This window comes from Homo sapiens, chromosome 1, assembly GCF_000001405.40.
Source record: "Homo sapiens chromosome 1, GRCh38.p14 Primary Assembly".
Classification (NCBI taxonomy): Eukaryota; Metazoa; Chordata; class Mammalia; order Primates; family Hominidae; genus Homo; species Homo sapiens.
Window position 1 is genome coordinate 20319150 of NC_000001.11, and position 15407 is coordinate 20334556.

At 48.8% G+C, this 15407-nt stretch overlaps 1 protein-coding gene across 15 annotated transcripts in view; it reads left to right on the forward strand.

The window, feature by feature from the left end:
- The window catches only part of VWA5B1 (von Willebrand factor A domain containing 5B1), a 68644-nt gene that overhangs the window by 28275 nt on the left and 24962 nt on the right, over nt 1–15407 (forward strand). For 10 of the 15 annotated variants that reach the window (NM_001039500.3, NM_001377531.1, XM_047445799.1 and 7 more), the window contains 6 exons: nt 233–357; nt 4207–4383; nt 8741–8851; nt 11031–11233; nt 11720–11834; nt 13617–13802. In NM_001039500.3, coding sequence (NP_001034589.2) covers nt 233–357; nt 4207–4383; nt 8741–8851; nt 11031–11233; nt 11720–11834; nt 13617–13802 — 917 coding nt within the window. The other 5 variants (XM_017000306.2, XM_017000305.2, XM_011540697.3 and 2 more) reach the window with 5 other exon arrangements.

Consider the following 15407-nt stretch of genomic DNA (forward strand, 5'->3'; position numbering starts at 1 on the left):
GCTCAGCTGAGGCCCAGAGAGGGGCAGTGAGTCACCCATGGCCACTAGGCTCCCCTGCCTCCCAGCTAAGGAGTCTTCCCTAGCCCTACACTGCTTCAGGCAGCCAGGGCTTCCACCCCGCTTCCAAATGGGAGTCCCACCCCTGTGAGAATCTTGCACCTAAACCAAAGCCCCCAGCATCCTTCTCCTACGATACCTGGCCAAGTGCTGAAAGTCGATCTCATCTCTGCAGAGCCCCATATGCCCCATGTCCTGATAGAGAAAGGGGACATGACCCTGGGAGAGTTTGACCAGCACTTGAAGGGAAGAACAGATTTCATTAAAGGGATGAAGAAGAAGAGCAGAGCAGAGCGGAAGGTGAGGGCAACTGAGGTGGGGAGCGGACGGTGGCAGAGTTGGGGTGGCGCTGAGGCCTGGTCTCCACTGAACAAGTGAGGTGGGGAGGTAACCTGCCCGAGGTCATCCAGCAAGCTGGAGGCAGACACCAGGCAAGAAGTGTTTCCTTCTGTGGGCCCCCGGGCACTGCAGGGCACTTTCAAATGCCCCGTCATCCTGGCTCTATTCCCGCCTCCTGCCAGATCACCTTTCTCCAGGACCTAGCAGGTGCCTAAGCCAGGAAAATTTATATATGGTGGCAGAATGGCCTTGGCCTCCTCCAGGCCTCTGCATCCCCAGGGGTGCCCAGGACCCTTCAGCTCCTTACCTCCTGGACCTCCCTTACCCACCAGCTGGGTAGCCTCTTGCTCTTCCTCCCTCTGGGGCCCTTGCTTGCTATGACATAAAGGACAAAGGCAGAGTGGGGAAAGCCTGAGAAAGATCCTCTCCTTCTGCTGTCCCCCACCCCATGAAGCTGCAGGACAAGGAGGCCTGGCCAGGGGCCAGGAATGGGAAAGGGAACGTTGGAGGCTGAGCGTCAGCCACAAGTCACACCCCATGCTCTGCCTCCCGCTCATGGTCCTGCACACTGAGCCAGGTCCTGAATGCCAAGATAGGTTTCAGAATGATGGCTCATCTCTTTCCATTAGCCCCCTTTTTAGATGAGAAAACTGAGATCTGGCACCCAAAGATCACCAGTAAGCTGGAGGAAGGGAAAGACTGTGATCTCAGAAGTTAGATTTGGTGACCAGGAGGCTAAGGGATGAGAACGGATTCTGTGGGGCAGTTGAGCTGGATTTCACACCACCACCCATGCTCTGCCCGCCTAGCTGGCACAGGGCAGTGGCAAGGTGGGGAAGTGGACAGAGACCCCCCTAGAAGCACATGCTCTCCCAGAGGTGCCCCTCAGCCAGATGAGTCAGTTGGGATAAGAAGCTGGAGCCCGGGGTTCTCAGAGTAGGGGGTGGCAGTGCCAGAGGTCCCATTGAGCTCTGAGAACTGCTGCCTATGGGCCAGTGGGGCCCAGTGGGCCTCCCAGGCCTGGGGCTGGCTGCCCTGCCTGCCAAGCCTTAAATAATTGGCTCGGGGATGGCGGAAGCAAATGAGAATTAACTTGCCACCTTGGGGTGGTTATGCAAATAGCCCGTATTCTCACAAACTCCAGGGATGACAGCAATCAACCCACAGCTGCTAAGAAATGATGAGTTTATTAATAATTGGATAATGGCAGCTTGAGGAGACATTAGAGAATCCTGAGCCAGGGCACCAACCCAGTCCCTCTGAGAGGCAGATAAGGTTTCTGGAGGTGGCTTCTCTCACTGGCAGATGTGGCTGCTTCTGCCTAGGGCTCTGTCATCAAAAGAGCCCGTCTGGGCTGTGGCCTCTGGTGGAGCGGCTTCACGTGGGAGAGAGACAGCGAGATCCCTTGGCAGGGAGAAGAGTGGGTTGTGGGTATCCACAGGGTGAACATCAATCAGGAAGAGTGGGTGGGACAAGCTGTCAGAAACCCTGGTTTAGCAAGGAGAGGGTAGATCACATAGAAGGGCACACCACGCGTGAGACACAGAGATGCCAAGAGTAACAGAGGCAAAAAAAAAAAAAAAACACGAAAAGATGCACACACAGGTCATTGGCAGACAAAAAGGCCCACACAGATTAATTCCCTCACTTATTTATTCAACAAATAAATCTTAGGGGGGCAATACTGAGAATGACACAGTCTTCATCTTCATGGAGCTTATATTCTGGGATGGAAAGACAGAGGAAGAAAAGCAAATCAGGCCGGGCGCGGTGGCTTACCCCTGCAATCGCAGCACTCTGGGAGGCCGAGACAGGTGGACCACAAGGTCAGGAGATCAAGACCATCCTGGCCAACATGGCGAAACCCCGTCTCTACTAAAAATACAAAAATTAGCTGGGCTTGGTGGCGCATGCCTGTCATCCCAGCTACTCGGGAGGCTGAGGCAGGAGAATCGCTTGAACCAGGGAGTTGGAGGTTGCAGTGAGCCGAGATTGAGCCACTGCACTCCAGCCTGGTGGCAGAGCGAGACTCTGTCTCAAAAAAATAAAAATAAAAAAGCAAATCAATGAGCCAGATCTGTTTGGAGAGGGCTGATATGATCATGAGTAGTAGGTGCTGGGTGTTCTTTAGCCGGGCGTCAGCAAAAGCCTGTCTGAGGATGAGACCTGGCAGAAGACCAAGAGCCCAACGTGGGAGGAATGGATGGAGAGGGCACAGGGGATGGAAGAGCAGGAAGCAGAACAATGGTGACCTTTTTGGAAAACAGGAAGAAGGTCAGTGCGGCTGAAATATAGGGAGCAGAGTGGGTAGAGAGGAGGTGGACAGGCAGGCAGGGGTCAAGCCACAGGGGGCTTCCTAAACTATGGTTCAGAGTATTCAGTGAGGGCACTGCTTGAGCAAGAGAATGACAAGAACAGTCGCTCTGGCTGCTCTCTGCAGAATGGACCACAGGGAGATAAAAGTTGGAGAAAGAGAGCAGGATGAGACTATTGCAAAGGTCGAGAGAGAGAGACAGTCCTCTCCTGAACACGGGCAGTAGCAGTGGAGTCAGAGAGATGTGGACGCGTTCTGGCTGCATGTTAGCAGCAGGACTGGCAATGCTTTGCTGCAGGATGGAATGCGTGGAGTGAGGAAAAGAGGGGAACTGAGGACAACTGTTAGGCGTTTGGTTTGAACAACTGGGTGGGTGGTGATGTCATCTATTGAGATGGGGAAGGAACCCAAATAGACAGAAACTGAGAAACAGACACAGAGACACGTGTACACACAGAGACAGCCAGATAAGGAGACAGAGAGAGAAAGTCGGGGTGGAAAGTGAAAGCAGCGTGAGAACAAAGGAAATGAGATTCTGTGTGAAGGGGAGGGGGAGAAGCAAGGGGAAGGGTCCTGGCCTCAGGGCCAGCTAGGAGGCCACATAAAAGGATAAACACCAAGGCCCTGTCCCTTCCTTAATCTTTACTGATCCATCTCTGGACTAGGCCCTGTGTTAAATTCTGGAGAGGTAAAAGAAGCTAAGAGATGACCTGCCCTCAAGTATAATAGCAAACAAGTTGACGGGAGGCAGAGATCGGAGCAAAAAACTATTCGGTGTGAGAAGTGCCTGGGCCTCCAGGACCAACAACAGCAGCACCAGCAATGGCAATGATGGCTGCTGTTTAGAGGCCATTGCTCTCTGCCAGGCAGCCAGCTTCACAGGTGCACTGAACCCATGCAACGACTCAGTGAGGTATGTCTTCTTGTCCTCATTTAATGGATGAGGAAACTAAGTAATTAAGTCCACCTGGAAATTGGGGAAGCCTTTCCAAACAGGTAGAATTTGAAGAGTGAGTAGGAATTTAACAACGGGAGAGAATCGGTAAACCAAGGAAACCCAGTTCACAGCCAACATGAGCCAGAGAGCAGTATACACACTGAGTGTAAAAGCGAGAGACCATTACTCAACCAACGGGCTTCTCGCGTCTGTGCTGACTCAGTTCATCCTCACAACCACCCTGAGAAGCGGACATTATTCGCCCCATTTTACAAATGGGTAAATAGACCCAGAGGAGGGACTCACCCCCATATCACACAGTCGGATGGTGACAGAGCTGGGATTCAAACCCAAGTCTTTCTGTCTGCAAAGTCCATGCTTGCTGTTGCAACCCGTGAAGGTCTAGCAAACAGAAGAGCTGAGCACAGTCAGCCCGGAAGTCTTCCATGCAGAGCCTGAGCAGGATGTGGGTGCACGGTGAGTGACGGGGACCAGCATGAGTCCCCAGGAGTACCTCTTGACCCTGATTGCCCAATCAGAGTGTTCTTTCCTCTTCCAGACAGAAATCATTCGAAAACGCCTCCACAAAGACATTCCCCACCACTCCGTCATCATGCTCAACTTCTGTCCCGACCTCCAGTCAGTCCAGCCGTGCCTGAGAAAGGCCCACGGGGAGTTCATCTTCCTCATTGACAGGAGCAGCAGCATGAGCGGGATCAGCATGCACCGAGTCAAGGTACCTGCTGAGAGAACCCCTCCCGAGGACCCGGGGCTCCAGGGGAAATCAGCTGTGTGCCCCCAATCCAGCTTCCTCAGCACTTTCTGTTCCAAGAAACAACTTTTAAAAATCAGTTTAAACAGAGATACCCAAACTCCATTTGCATCCCCATAAAAACATGAAGTGGTGTGAGCAGAAGCTGAGCTGGCATCCATTTATAAGGGATGAAGTCATCCGTAGCTGTCCTTTGCATTCTACAAACTTTAGCTAAAACACTCCAGTAGGTACTGAGTGGAGCAGGGCACAGGGAAGAGGGGAAGGGAAGTAACATTTGCTGAGGGTCTGCTATGTGTTGGATACGGTGCTAGCCACTTAACGTGAAGCTTGGTACCTCATCCAGACAATAATCTTATGCGTTTGATCCTATTTTTGCCATTTTCCATATAGAAAAGCTGATCTTGAGAGTTTCAGTCACCTGCCCAAGGTCACATGGCCACTGTGGTCTAAAATTAAATCCATGTCTCCCTGACTGTCCCCACCACCTGACATCAGAGCTTCAGTGGACATGGCCCCTGCCATCAAGGAATGTGTAGAATTTGGTAGAAAAGACTTGGTTTCTCTTTTTTTCAAATGCCTAATAGGTGCCAAGCCTTGCCCTTGGCCATCTGGAAAAACAGCAGAATGTAAACACATTTGCTGTCCTCAAGGAGCTGACAGTCAAGAGAGAGGCACAGGCCTGCTAGCCAATCAGAATACATGGGAGCTTGGTCTCCCTGCTAAGGAGAGCTCCTCAGGAGGGTGGAAGCAATGGTGATAGAATCCTCCCCCCTCACAATCCAGATGCATTTCACCTGCCCCCTGCCCCACCCCCAGGAGATTACTGGTCTCCATTGTGGCATTATCCAACACTCCCTTGTATTTTTGATTGTGCAGATGTCTGTCTCTCTGGAGTTATGAACTCATTTAGGAAAAGGGTCGTCTATCCTCTCACCTGTCTTTTTCCATGGGGCCTAGCTCTGTGTTTATGCATAAAAAGCCTTCTATCTCTTTATTGATCCGGGTAAAGGATAACTGAGTTCAGGAGAACAAGGAAGGAGGGGGCAAGAACAGAGTGGGGCTCTGCCGTCACCTGAAATTTCATCTTTCCCCCTAGTTTGTTCCCAGAGCAAGCTCTTGTTTCCAGGGCAGCAAGCTCAGCAAGGAGAGGAGGGTTGGGTGGGATCTGGGATGCCAGGTATCTCCATGGGTTTGCTACAGTTGTCTTGAAGTATGACAAAGGAATCATACACAGGACCCAAGTTCCTGTTTGAAGTCTCATGACACAGGGGTGTAGTAGGGCTGATTGGCACCTTCTTCCCCAACCTGCCCACCGTCAGAGGCAAACATTGGAATGAGAAGCTGTCCTCGGTGCTGGAGTGCTGAAGCACGCTCAAGGCCTCTGTGGCCATCTGTATCCCGTTCCGCATCTTTATCAGTTCGTAAGATGTCTCAGTTACCCTAGAGCATCACAGAAGCATAAACCTAAAACATGCCTTAGGGAGCATTTAATCCATTTTCCCTCCACTTTCCAGGTAAAGAAACTGAGTCGCCAAGAGGCTAAGTGCTTTTCCCAGCATCACAGGGCTAGTGAGAGAGCCTGGGCCTTCTATGTCTTGCTTCAGAGCTCATTTTCCTTACATTGCTTATGGAGAATTATGCATACTGTTCCACTAAAAAATTCTCTTCTCTGATGATGTCATCTCTGCTGCATGGCATCATGCCAAAAGCAACACCTGGATTCCAGGGTCAATTCTGCCACCGATTTGCTCTGTGACTGTGGACAAGCTGATTTTCAACTCTGGGATTCATTCATACTTTCTGTAGAGAGAGAAGGATCAATTCAGGCAGAGTGAACGTATGTCATATATCCCTCCGCTCCCCTCCCTCTCCCAAGCCCAGGTAGACCTCAATTCAATAATTGGTCATGACATTTTTTTTCCTGCTGAGCCTGGACTCAGTCTATATCCTTCTCATCCAGTGTTCCAGGCAGTTACTACCAGTTAAATGTAATTAGTTCATAAATGGAAATCCACTTCCTGGACTGAAAGCCTGTCCAATCTTTGCATTCCAGAATTCTCGGACAATAACTTTCTCTGGCTCTCCTTTCAGTCCTCTTTCTCCTTGGAATCTCTCCTGCCCTTCTCCAGTTCAGCTCACTGAGCTCAAGGTCATGCCTTCACAAATGGCTTTGCATTGGTGCCATCCATTCTGCTAAACATGACCCTTTTAGAGAAAGGCACAGAAATTACTCAGGCTACACACCCCTTTCCCCACTGACAATGAGGCCACTGGAAGGTTGCTTGGGTCCTTAATTGTGACCCACTGGGTTGAAGTTTTAGGAAAATCTAGGCTCAGGGAGGAGGGAGAAAATAGAAATCCAAAGAGCTTATGCCAAAGGGGAAAGTCCGGCCAATTTAATTTCCTGCAGCTGGTCTCATTCTTCAGCTGCCACTTGCTGCCAAAAACATGGCTTTAAAAATTCTAATAGGTGTGAGCAGAGACAATCTGTATGGATCAGCAGAATCTCCTCCTAGCAGGAATATGCATTAGTGACTAATGAAAAAATAAGCAGACATTGACTTCTTTTGTAGAGAAACCAAATGTATTGACGCAAGCAATGAAGAGAGATTGAGAGAATGTTAATGTTAATGTTTGCAGGGTGGGGGATGGGATTGGGGTGTGAGTATGTGGAGCCTGGAAATCTGTGTGGTGTAAAAGGTGCCAGAATCCTCTTGCAGCTGTTTTCTTCTAGATCATGAAGGATGACGGCTTCCCTGAAGCCATGCTGAGATCCCTGGGGTACTATCAATAAACAAGATGGGGGACATGGGGGTGAGGGGGAGACAGACCTTCATTCCTCTGCCAAGGCAGAGCCAACATGAATAAAAATCTCAGAACTGTGGGGTTTTTTTGTTTTGTTTTGTTTTGTTTGAGATGAGTCTCACTCTGTTGCCCAGGCTGGAGTGCAGTGGCGTGATCTCGGCTCACTGCAGCCTCCGCCTCCCGGGTTCAAGCAATTCTCCTGATTTAGCCTCCTGAGTAGCTGGGATTACAGGCGTGTACCACCATGCCCGGCTAATATTTGTGTTTTTAGTAGAGACGGTTCAGGCTGGTCTCGAACTCCTGACCTCATGATCTGCCTGCCTCCACCTCCCAAAGTGCTCGGATTACAAGCGTGAGTTACCGTGCCCAGCCAAAGCTGTGTTTTTAAAGCCTCTGTCATTAGTCTTAGGTTTTGCAATCCAGGGCAATTCCTTAGCTCTCCTGAGCCTCAGTTTCCTTATCTGTAAAGCAGGGTTATTAATATTAATATAGATCTCACTGAGTTGATAATGATAACCATTTGCTGAATGTTTACTATGCACCTAGCTGAGGCTCAGAGGGGTGACATAACTTAGAACATTTAGCACATAGTAATTGCTTGATATTTATCATTGCATTGTATCATAACCATCGTCACCATCATGATCATCATGATCATCATCATCATCAATTTTGCTTCTACCATCACCTCCACCTCCCTCATTGTCACTATTTTTTTTCAGTCTACCTTTATCAAGGTCTCCTGCTGGGGTTACATGGGTTATGTTTAGTGTCCATAGACTTTGGAGGCAAAGTGACATGGCTTTGAGTCCTGACTCCATTATTTACCCTCTGGATGCTCACCAACATGTTACTTCCCCTCTCTGTGCCTCAATCTTCTCTTCTATAAAATGGGGATAAAAGCGTACCTGCCTCGAAGGGTTATGGTGAAGATCAGTGAAGTGATGCATGTAAAGTACATCCTGTGTACCTGACAAATATGAGCTGAAGAGACTGCCCCTGAGGATGTGTCCTTAGTGATGGTTAGGTTGAGTCTGATGCAGAAGGTCCCACAGGAGGGCCAGAAGCCATTCCATCCACAGTGTGACCTGGACCAGGCCACTTTCCTCCCTTGGACATCAATTCTGCTTTGGCAGCAGGGAGAGGGTGCTCCCTGCTCTCCCCACCTCTCAGGATCAGGAAGAGGTTAAATGGAACTGGAAAGCCATAATAGAAAGGCTTTAAGAAATCAGACCTGCTACATGGATAAGTTTGATGATGATGACGACGACGACGATGATGATGATGATGGTGGTGGTGGTGGTGGTGGTGGTGGTGGTGGCTTTGGTCCAGCCTCTGGTCAGTGTCAGCAAATTTCTTGATGTGAGGGAAAAGGAGTTGCTGGGTGCAGACAGAGGAGGGTAAAGGTCTGTTTGGAGGCTGCTCGTGTGCTGGGAAAGGGAATATTGGAGTGCAGTGGCCGAGTGACAAGAACTCCTTCCTGAATCCTGAAAACCCCTTTCTCTCCTGCCAGGATGCCATGTTGGTGGCCCTTAAGAGCCTCATGCCAGCCTGCCTCTTCAATATCATTGGGTTTGGATCCACATTTAAGAGCCTTTTTCCTTCCAGCCAGACCTACAGTGAGGTAATGAGGGGGCAAGGCTGGGACCAGGAGGGTGGTGCATGGTGGGGAGCAGAGGAAAGGAGGGAAAGGGGAAAAAATAGTTAAAACCCTAGTGCTGGCCTCAGAAGCTGCCTACCCACAGAGAACCCAGATCACACCCGGGGGCAGAGAACTGAAGAGAAACTATCTCTGTTTGGACATTTTTCTGACATCTCAGCCTTCTGACATCCCCTCCTCTTTAGAATCAAACAATATTTTGGGCAAAGTGTGTGTGTGTACAGAAATGAGGTACGGAAAGTGGGTAGAGAGAGGACATAGCCCAGGCCTGCCACTCACTGAAGCCTCCGTTTCACAAGGATGATGGACGCATGCAAGGTTGAGCTAAGGAAGCGGCTGATAAGGAGTAGGGGAGTGAATAGGTGGATGAGTGGGCGTGGCAGCGGGCTAAGAATGGAACTCACAAGGCTCAAGATACTGTGTGAAACAAGAAGGCTGTGGCCCCAGCAGCGTGTTCAAAATTGGAGCATCCTACCCAGATCTAAGAAGAGGAAGAGAGGGAGGGAGGAAGGAAGGAAAGGAGGGAGGAAGGACAAGCAAATGGGACACTTTTCAACTAAAAATAATGTTATGAGTTTTAAAAATGCAAGAATAATATATGTTGCATGCGCTTGTAATCTCAGCTACTTGGGAGGTTGAGATGGGAGGGTCGCTTGAGCCTAGGAGCTTTGACTCCAGCCTGGGCAGGACAGTGAGACCTCATTTCTACAAACAATGACAACAACAAAAGAATAATATGTATTGATCATTCCACAATGTTTAAATGTACATATCAAAAACAAATTTTTTTTAAAAAATCTCCTGTGATTATGTCAGTCAGGATAAAAGGAAGAAAAGACACTGCTAAGAGCTTAGTATAAATCCTTCCAGCCCTTGTTCTATGCATTTACACACATTTTCAATAAAGATAGGATTAGGCCTTCCATACTGTTCTGTAACCTACTTTTCTAACGCAGCAGTCTATCATGAATGTATTTCCATGCCAGTAAGTATTAATCTGTAATGTAACTGTAATGGCTTCCTAGTATTTCACTACACAGATAGATTGGGACTTATTTAACAAAACCCCTGCAGTCAAGCATTAAAGTTCTTTCCATTTTATTTAGTCATCTTTGTATCACAGATTTTGCATGTATCTTTAATTATTCCCTTAGGATTAATTCCTAGCCTTGCTGGCTCAAAAGCTACACATACATCTTAAGACTTTTGAAACATGCCATTACTGCTTTTTTTTTTCTTTTTTCTTTTCCCTTTTTTTTTTTTTTTTTTTTTTTTTTTTTGAGATGGAGTCTCTCTTTCTCTGTCACCCAGGCTGGAGTGCAGTGGTGCGATCTTGATCTTGGCTCACTGCAACCTCTGCCTCTCAGGTTCAAGCGATTCTCCTGCCTCAGCCTCCCAAGTAGCTAGGATTACAGGCATGTACCACCACACTTAGCTAATTTTTATATTTTTAATAAAGACAAGGTTTCACCATTTTGGCCAGGCTGGTCTCGAATTCCTGACCTCAAGTGATCCACCTGCCTTGACTTCCCAAACATGCTGTTACTTCTAAGTCCTGTCCAAGGGTGGATGTTGAAATAGCATCCCCCTGAGCCAGGAGAAGGAGGTCACTGTATCCAGTGGGAATTTACTCTTGCTGCAAATGACATCCATCCTTGGCCAGTTGGGACCCACACAGTTGGTCCAGAGCAAGGAAATCTGAAGCCTGGATTAGAGAAATGATTTTCTCAAAATGTCACAGGGGGCTGGTGCCAGAGTCAGTCTCTGGTCTCAGATCTTAAGATTTCTAGTCCAGTGCTCTTTCCCTCACACCACCCACCTCCCTCATGAGAAAAAGAAACCTCATGTGTGCTAAGGAATCAGGGGTTTAATGTGTTCCAGGAGTGCTTCTATTTTTAAAGGAGAACCCGGAAAGGACAACTGGTTGGTGTTTCAGGCATTGGTAGGGGGTGCTGTTGAGCAGGATGACACCAAATGAGTGGCCACCCATTCTTCCTGTGAGTGTGGGCAGGGATGAAATTGGGAGCATGGGTCAACTCTGGTGAGGCTAAAAGAAGATCTAGGGAAACAAAGTCCTCTTCCTTAGGTGGTCTAGAGTCTCTGTACCATACGGTGACACTGGGGACTGTCTGCTTCTCTGCAGGACAGCTTGGCCATGGCTTGTGATGACATCCAGAGAATGAAGGCCGACATGGGTGGGACCAACATCCTTTCCCCTCTCAAGTGGGTCATCAGGCAGCCAGTGCACCGAGGCCACCCGCGGCTCCTCTTCGTGATCACAGATGGCGCTGTCAACAACACAGGGAAGGTGCTGGAGCTGGTGCGAAATCACGCCTTCTCCACCAGGTCGGCCTTGGCTGAGGGTCTAGGCTCGGTGACTCCAGGCTGCCGGGGCTGGGGCGCCAGAGCCCAAGGGCAATGTGGAAAATGCCAGAGGGAGAGGATAGGACCCACAATTCCCAAAGGGCTTTGCTTCCAAGATAGTGTGGGCTGATTTCAAAGTTCATCTTTTTCCCTCTCAAGTTCTGAATGGGTGAGCTACCCATGCCTCTGCACACGACTCACAAGAGAAGCCCAGGGAGAGGTCCCACAGCCAAGGGAGAGGCTGCTCCCGCTCTGTGCTGGGTGGGAATTAATGGACTGTCTGTGGGTGAATTGATGGGTGTGTATGTGGGTACCCCCGATGGCCCCTCTTCCTTCTCCCTCTCCCTCTACCTGAATATAGGGCCAGCTCCAAGATCCTGCCAGACCATGCTCTGTCCCTTTCTGCATCAGGAGGCAAAGATGCAGAGAGGATAAGACATAGCAGCCTCTCTTCTCCCTTTCCGCCAGGTGCTATAGCTTTGGAATTGGACCCAACGTCTGCCACAGACTGGTGAAAGGACTGGCATCTGTGTCCGAGGGCAGTGCTGAGCTCCTGATGGAGGGGGAGCGGCTGCAACCCAAGGTAGGCAGCAGAACCCACGCAGTCCCTTCTGGTGCTGGAACCTCAGAGGCTCAGACCAGTCACATGGCAACTCAGTGGTGGAGCTGGGATGACACCCCAAATCTGAGCTCTTCACTAGGCCACACTGCATCCCAATGAGAACCAGAGACTTGCAAGCCACAGAGCAGGCAACTCTTGAAGCAATGCCAGGACGCTAGATCCCCTGGTCTCCAGCCACTGGACACACACTCCATCCACTGCTGGACAAGATGAGGCTCCTGGAAAAGCTACCACCTATATGGATTGAAGTTGTGTTTGAGGTCCATATCTGGACATGTTCCTGATGATGACAAATGGTGGCTCAGAAGAATCTAAAGAACCCAGAAATAAAGGAGGCTATAGTCTGCTTTCCATGTCCTGCACATTTGACACGAATAATCTAACCCTTAGAAAATCCCCTTGTCAGTCCAGTAAACAAAGACAGGGCTGGGATTAAGAGTGAAGATGTTTATTGGGGATAGTGTCTATGAAAGGTGGAAGAGGAGGAAGCAGGAAGAAAAACTCTTCAGGCCAAGAGGCCAGTCCAACAGCTGTGAAAGGAAAATGGGAGCAGAATTGGGCAAGAGAGCCTCAAACTGTGATGCCCTGGCAGGGTCTCAGCCATCCAGCAGGGAGCTCTGGAGCAAAGGTTGCCCATCAAAGTCAGGGATGTGCTGAAATGAGCAGGATCTAGTATCCCTGCCATGCTGAATCATTGACTTGGGGCTTCCAGGGAGAGAGATGGTCTTGGCTCAAAAGCTGGGGTGCTGCATCTGGAAGCTGTCACCTAACGGCATTTCTTGCAGCAAGAAGGCATGGTCTTTCTTGAAGAGAGATTTGAAAGCTCACCTCTATACTTGCCACAACCCCCAAGTCATTTTCTCCAGGTTTGCAGTACAGAACATCCAAGGAAATCAGTCTAGGTGATGACCACAGCTGTCATTTACTAAACACCTACCACACCTAGCGCATGTCATTTACTAAATACCTACCACATGTCAAATTCAGTATTGCAAATAATCCTTCAACTACACCCTCCTACTTTAACAGAAGGGAAAACTGAGGCCCAGAGAGGTAAATAAATTTGCTCAAGATCATCATCCAGTCCATGGTTTGGCGCAAACCTGTGTGCCCTTGGGCTAGTCACAGCCCTACTTTGAGCCTCAGATTTTCTCATTTATAAAATGCTAAACTGGCCAGGTGTGCAGTGGCTCACGCCTGTAATCCCAGTACTTTGGGAGGCCTAGGAAGGTGGATCACTTGAGGCCAAGAGTTTGAGACCAGCCTGGCCAATTTGGTGAAACCCCGTCTCTACTAAATATACAAAAATTAGCTGGGCATGATGGCGGGTGCCTGTAATCCCAGCTACTCAGGAGGCTGAGGCAGCAGAATCACCTGAACCCAAGAGGTGGATGTTGCACTGAGCCGAGATCATGCCACTGCACTCCAGCCTGGGTGACAGAGCCAGACTCTGTCTCAAAATAAAATAAAATAAAATAAAATAAAATAAAATAAAATAAAATAAAATAAAATAAAATAAAATAAAATGCTAAGCTTAGAAAAGATGAAGCGAAGATGCTCCCCAACTCTGACATTCTGTGAGTCTAAGAAGCTCAGAAGTGTGCTCAGTGCTAGGCAAGTCACCACAAGGCCTACTGTCCCCTCTTCCCTGCTCCCACTCCCCACTAAGCTGATACTTACATGATCTTCTGTACACATCTCTTCTCATACATCCCCCAACTGCATTCTGACCCTGCCCTACAGATGGTCAAATCCTTGAAGAAGGCCATGGCCCCAGTCCTGAGCGATGTGACTGTGGAGTGGATCTTCCCTGAGACCACTGAGGTCCTGGTCTCACCCGTCAGCGCCAGCTCCCTCTTCCCTGGAGAACGGCTGGTGGGGTATGGCATTGTATGTGATGCTTCTTTGCACATCTCCAATCCCAGATCTGTAAGTATCCTAGAAATTCCACGGGTCCGTGTGGGCCCAGAACCCATGCCTACAAATCAGCCTTAGCTGGAAAGACTATTTGTGACAGCTAGAAACCAACTGGAAGTGGGTTTGCAGCTGTGGGTTTACAGTTTTCCCAGTTGTGGGTTTACAGTTGCCAGGCCACAGGCATTCAATCACAGTGGCATGGCTAAGGTAGATGCCACCATCTCAAAAATGTGGTTATTAAGAGCCCCTGCAGTAGAACCACTTGAAGAACTTGTTTAAAATGCACAGCTTTGGGAGGCCGAGGCAGGAAGATCACTTGAGATCAGGAACTTGAGATCAGCCTGGCCAACAGGGTGAAACCCCGTTCTCTACTAAAAATATAACAAAATTAGCCAGACATGGTGGCAGGCACCTATAATCCCAGCTACTCAGGAGGCTGAGGCACGAGAATCACTTGAACTCGGGAGGCGGAGTTTGCAGTGAGCTAAGATCGTGCCATTGCACTCCAGCCTGGGCGACAGAGCGAGACTCCGTCTCAAAAGAAAAAAAGAATGCAGAGCCCTAGCTTCCACCCAGGTCTGTTGAATAAGAATCCCCAAGGATAAAGCCCAGGAAACTGCATTTTACATAATTTCCCCTAAGTGATATGGTGCACACTTTAGTTCAAGAACAAATGCACTCAGATTTCCTTCTCCACACACTCTAGTAAGCGCGTATCTCCTTAGATGAGTTTGTGTTTTATTTCTTTACGTGGATGATTCCCTTGTCTGTGGTGGCAGAAGTGGGATGAAAGCCAAGAACTTCTGAAAGGGAGGTGAAGTTCATGCTAAAATGTGAGAGGTTGCCAAAGAAGCTGTTTCCTCACCTATCTTTCCTCTTTCGTGAGTCTGTCCACTCTCTCTAAAGGATTTCTCATCTTGTTTTGTTTTTCAAAAAAGAAGTCACAAACTCAATGCCTATAGAAATTGGGCAGGTGTGGAATGAATGAAATGGACTTGGTGTAAAAATAAAAGGGGCCAATGCTGTGATGGATAGCAGTTACCACTGAGCTCACAGTTGGAAAGGCAATAGGGAGCGGTGAGGAATATGGCAAACTGGATGGCACACGCCCTGGCTAAACTGGGCAGCCCCTACGCAGCCCTAACAAAGTGCCATCATGCAGAAATGTGAGCCCTATGTTAAATGTGTGTCTCATTTTTCAGGAGAAATTGGAACTTTATGTGAAAGCTCCAGATTTTTTAATGTTATGAAATGTTTTCAGAACTGTGATCAGGTTAATGGTTAATGTGTTATGGAAAATGGAGTGTTCAGCCGCAGGGAGAAAATGCTAAACAAAATGCTGGCCAAGTCCTTGCACAGTCCGGGCCTTCCTGGGAGGTCTAGAAGGCACCAGTTCATCAACAGACCCTCCCACTAGAAGGGACTGGACGCAGTCATCAAATCCATTCTCCTTTGCTTACTCAATACTGGCAACGTTTGCCCTGCTACTGGTAGGGATAAAGAGGACCTTCACATATTGTTGGTGTAAATATAACTTGCCGCAGCCCTCCTGGGAAGCAACCTAGAAATAACTAATAAAATTAGAGATAGGCCGGGCACGATGGCTCACGCCTATAA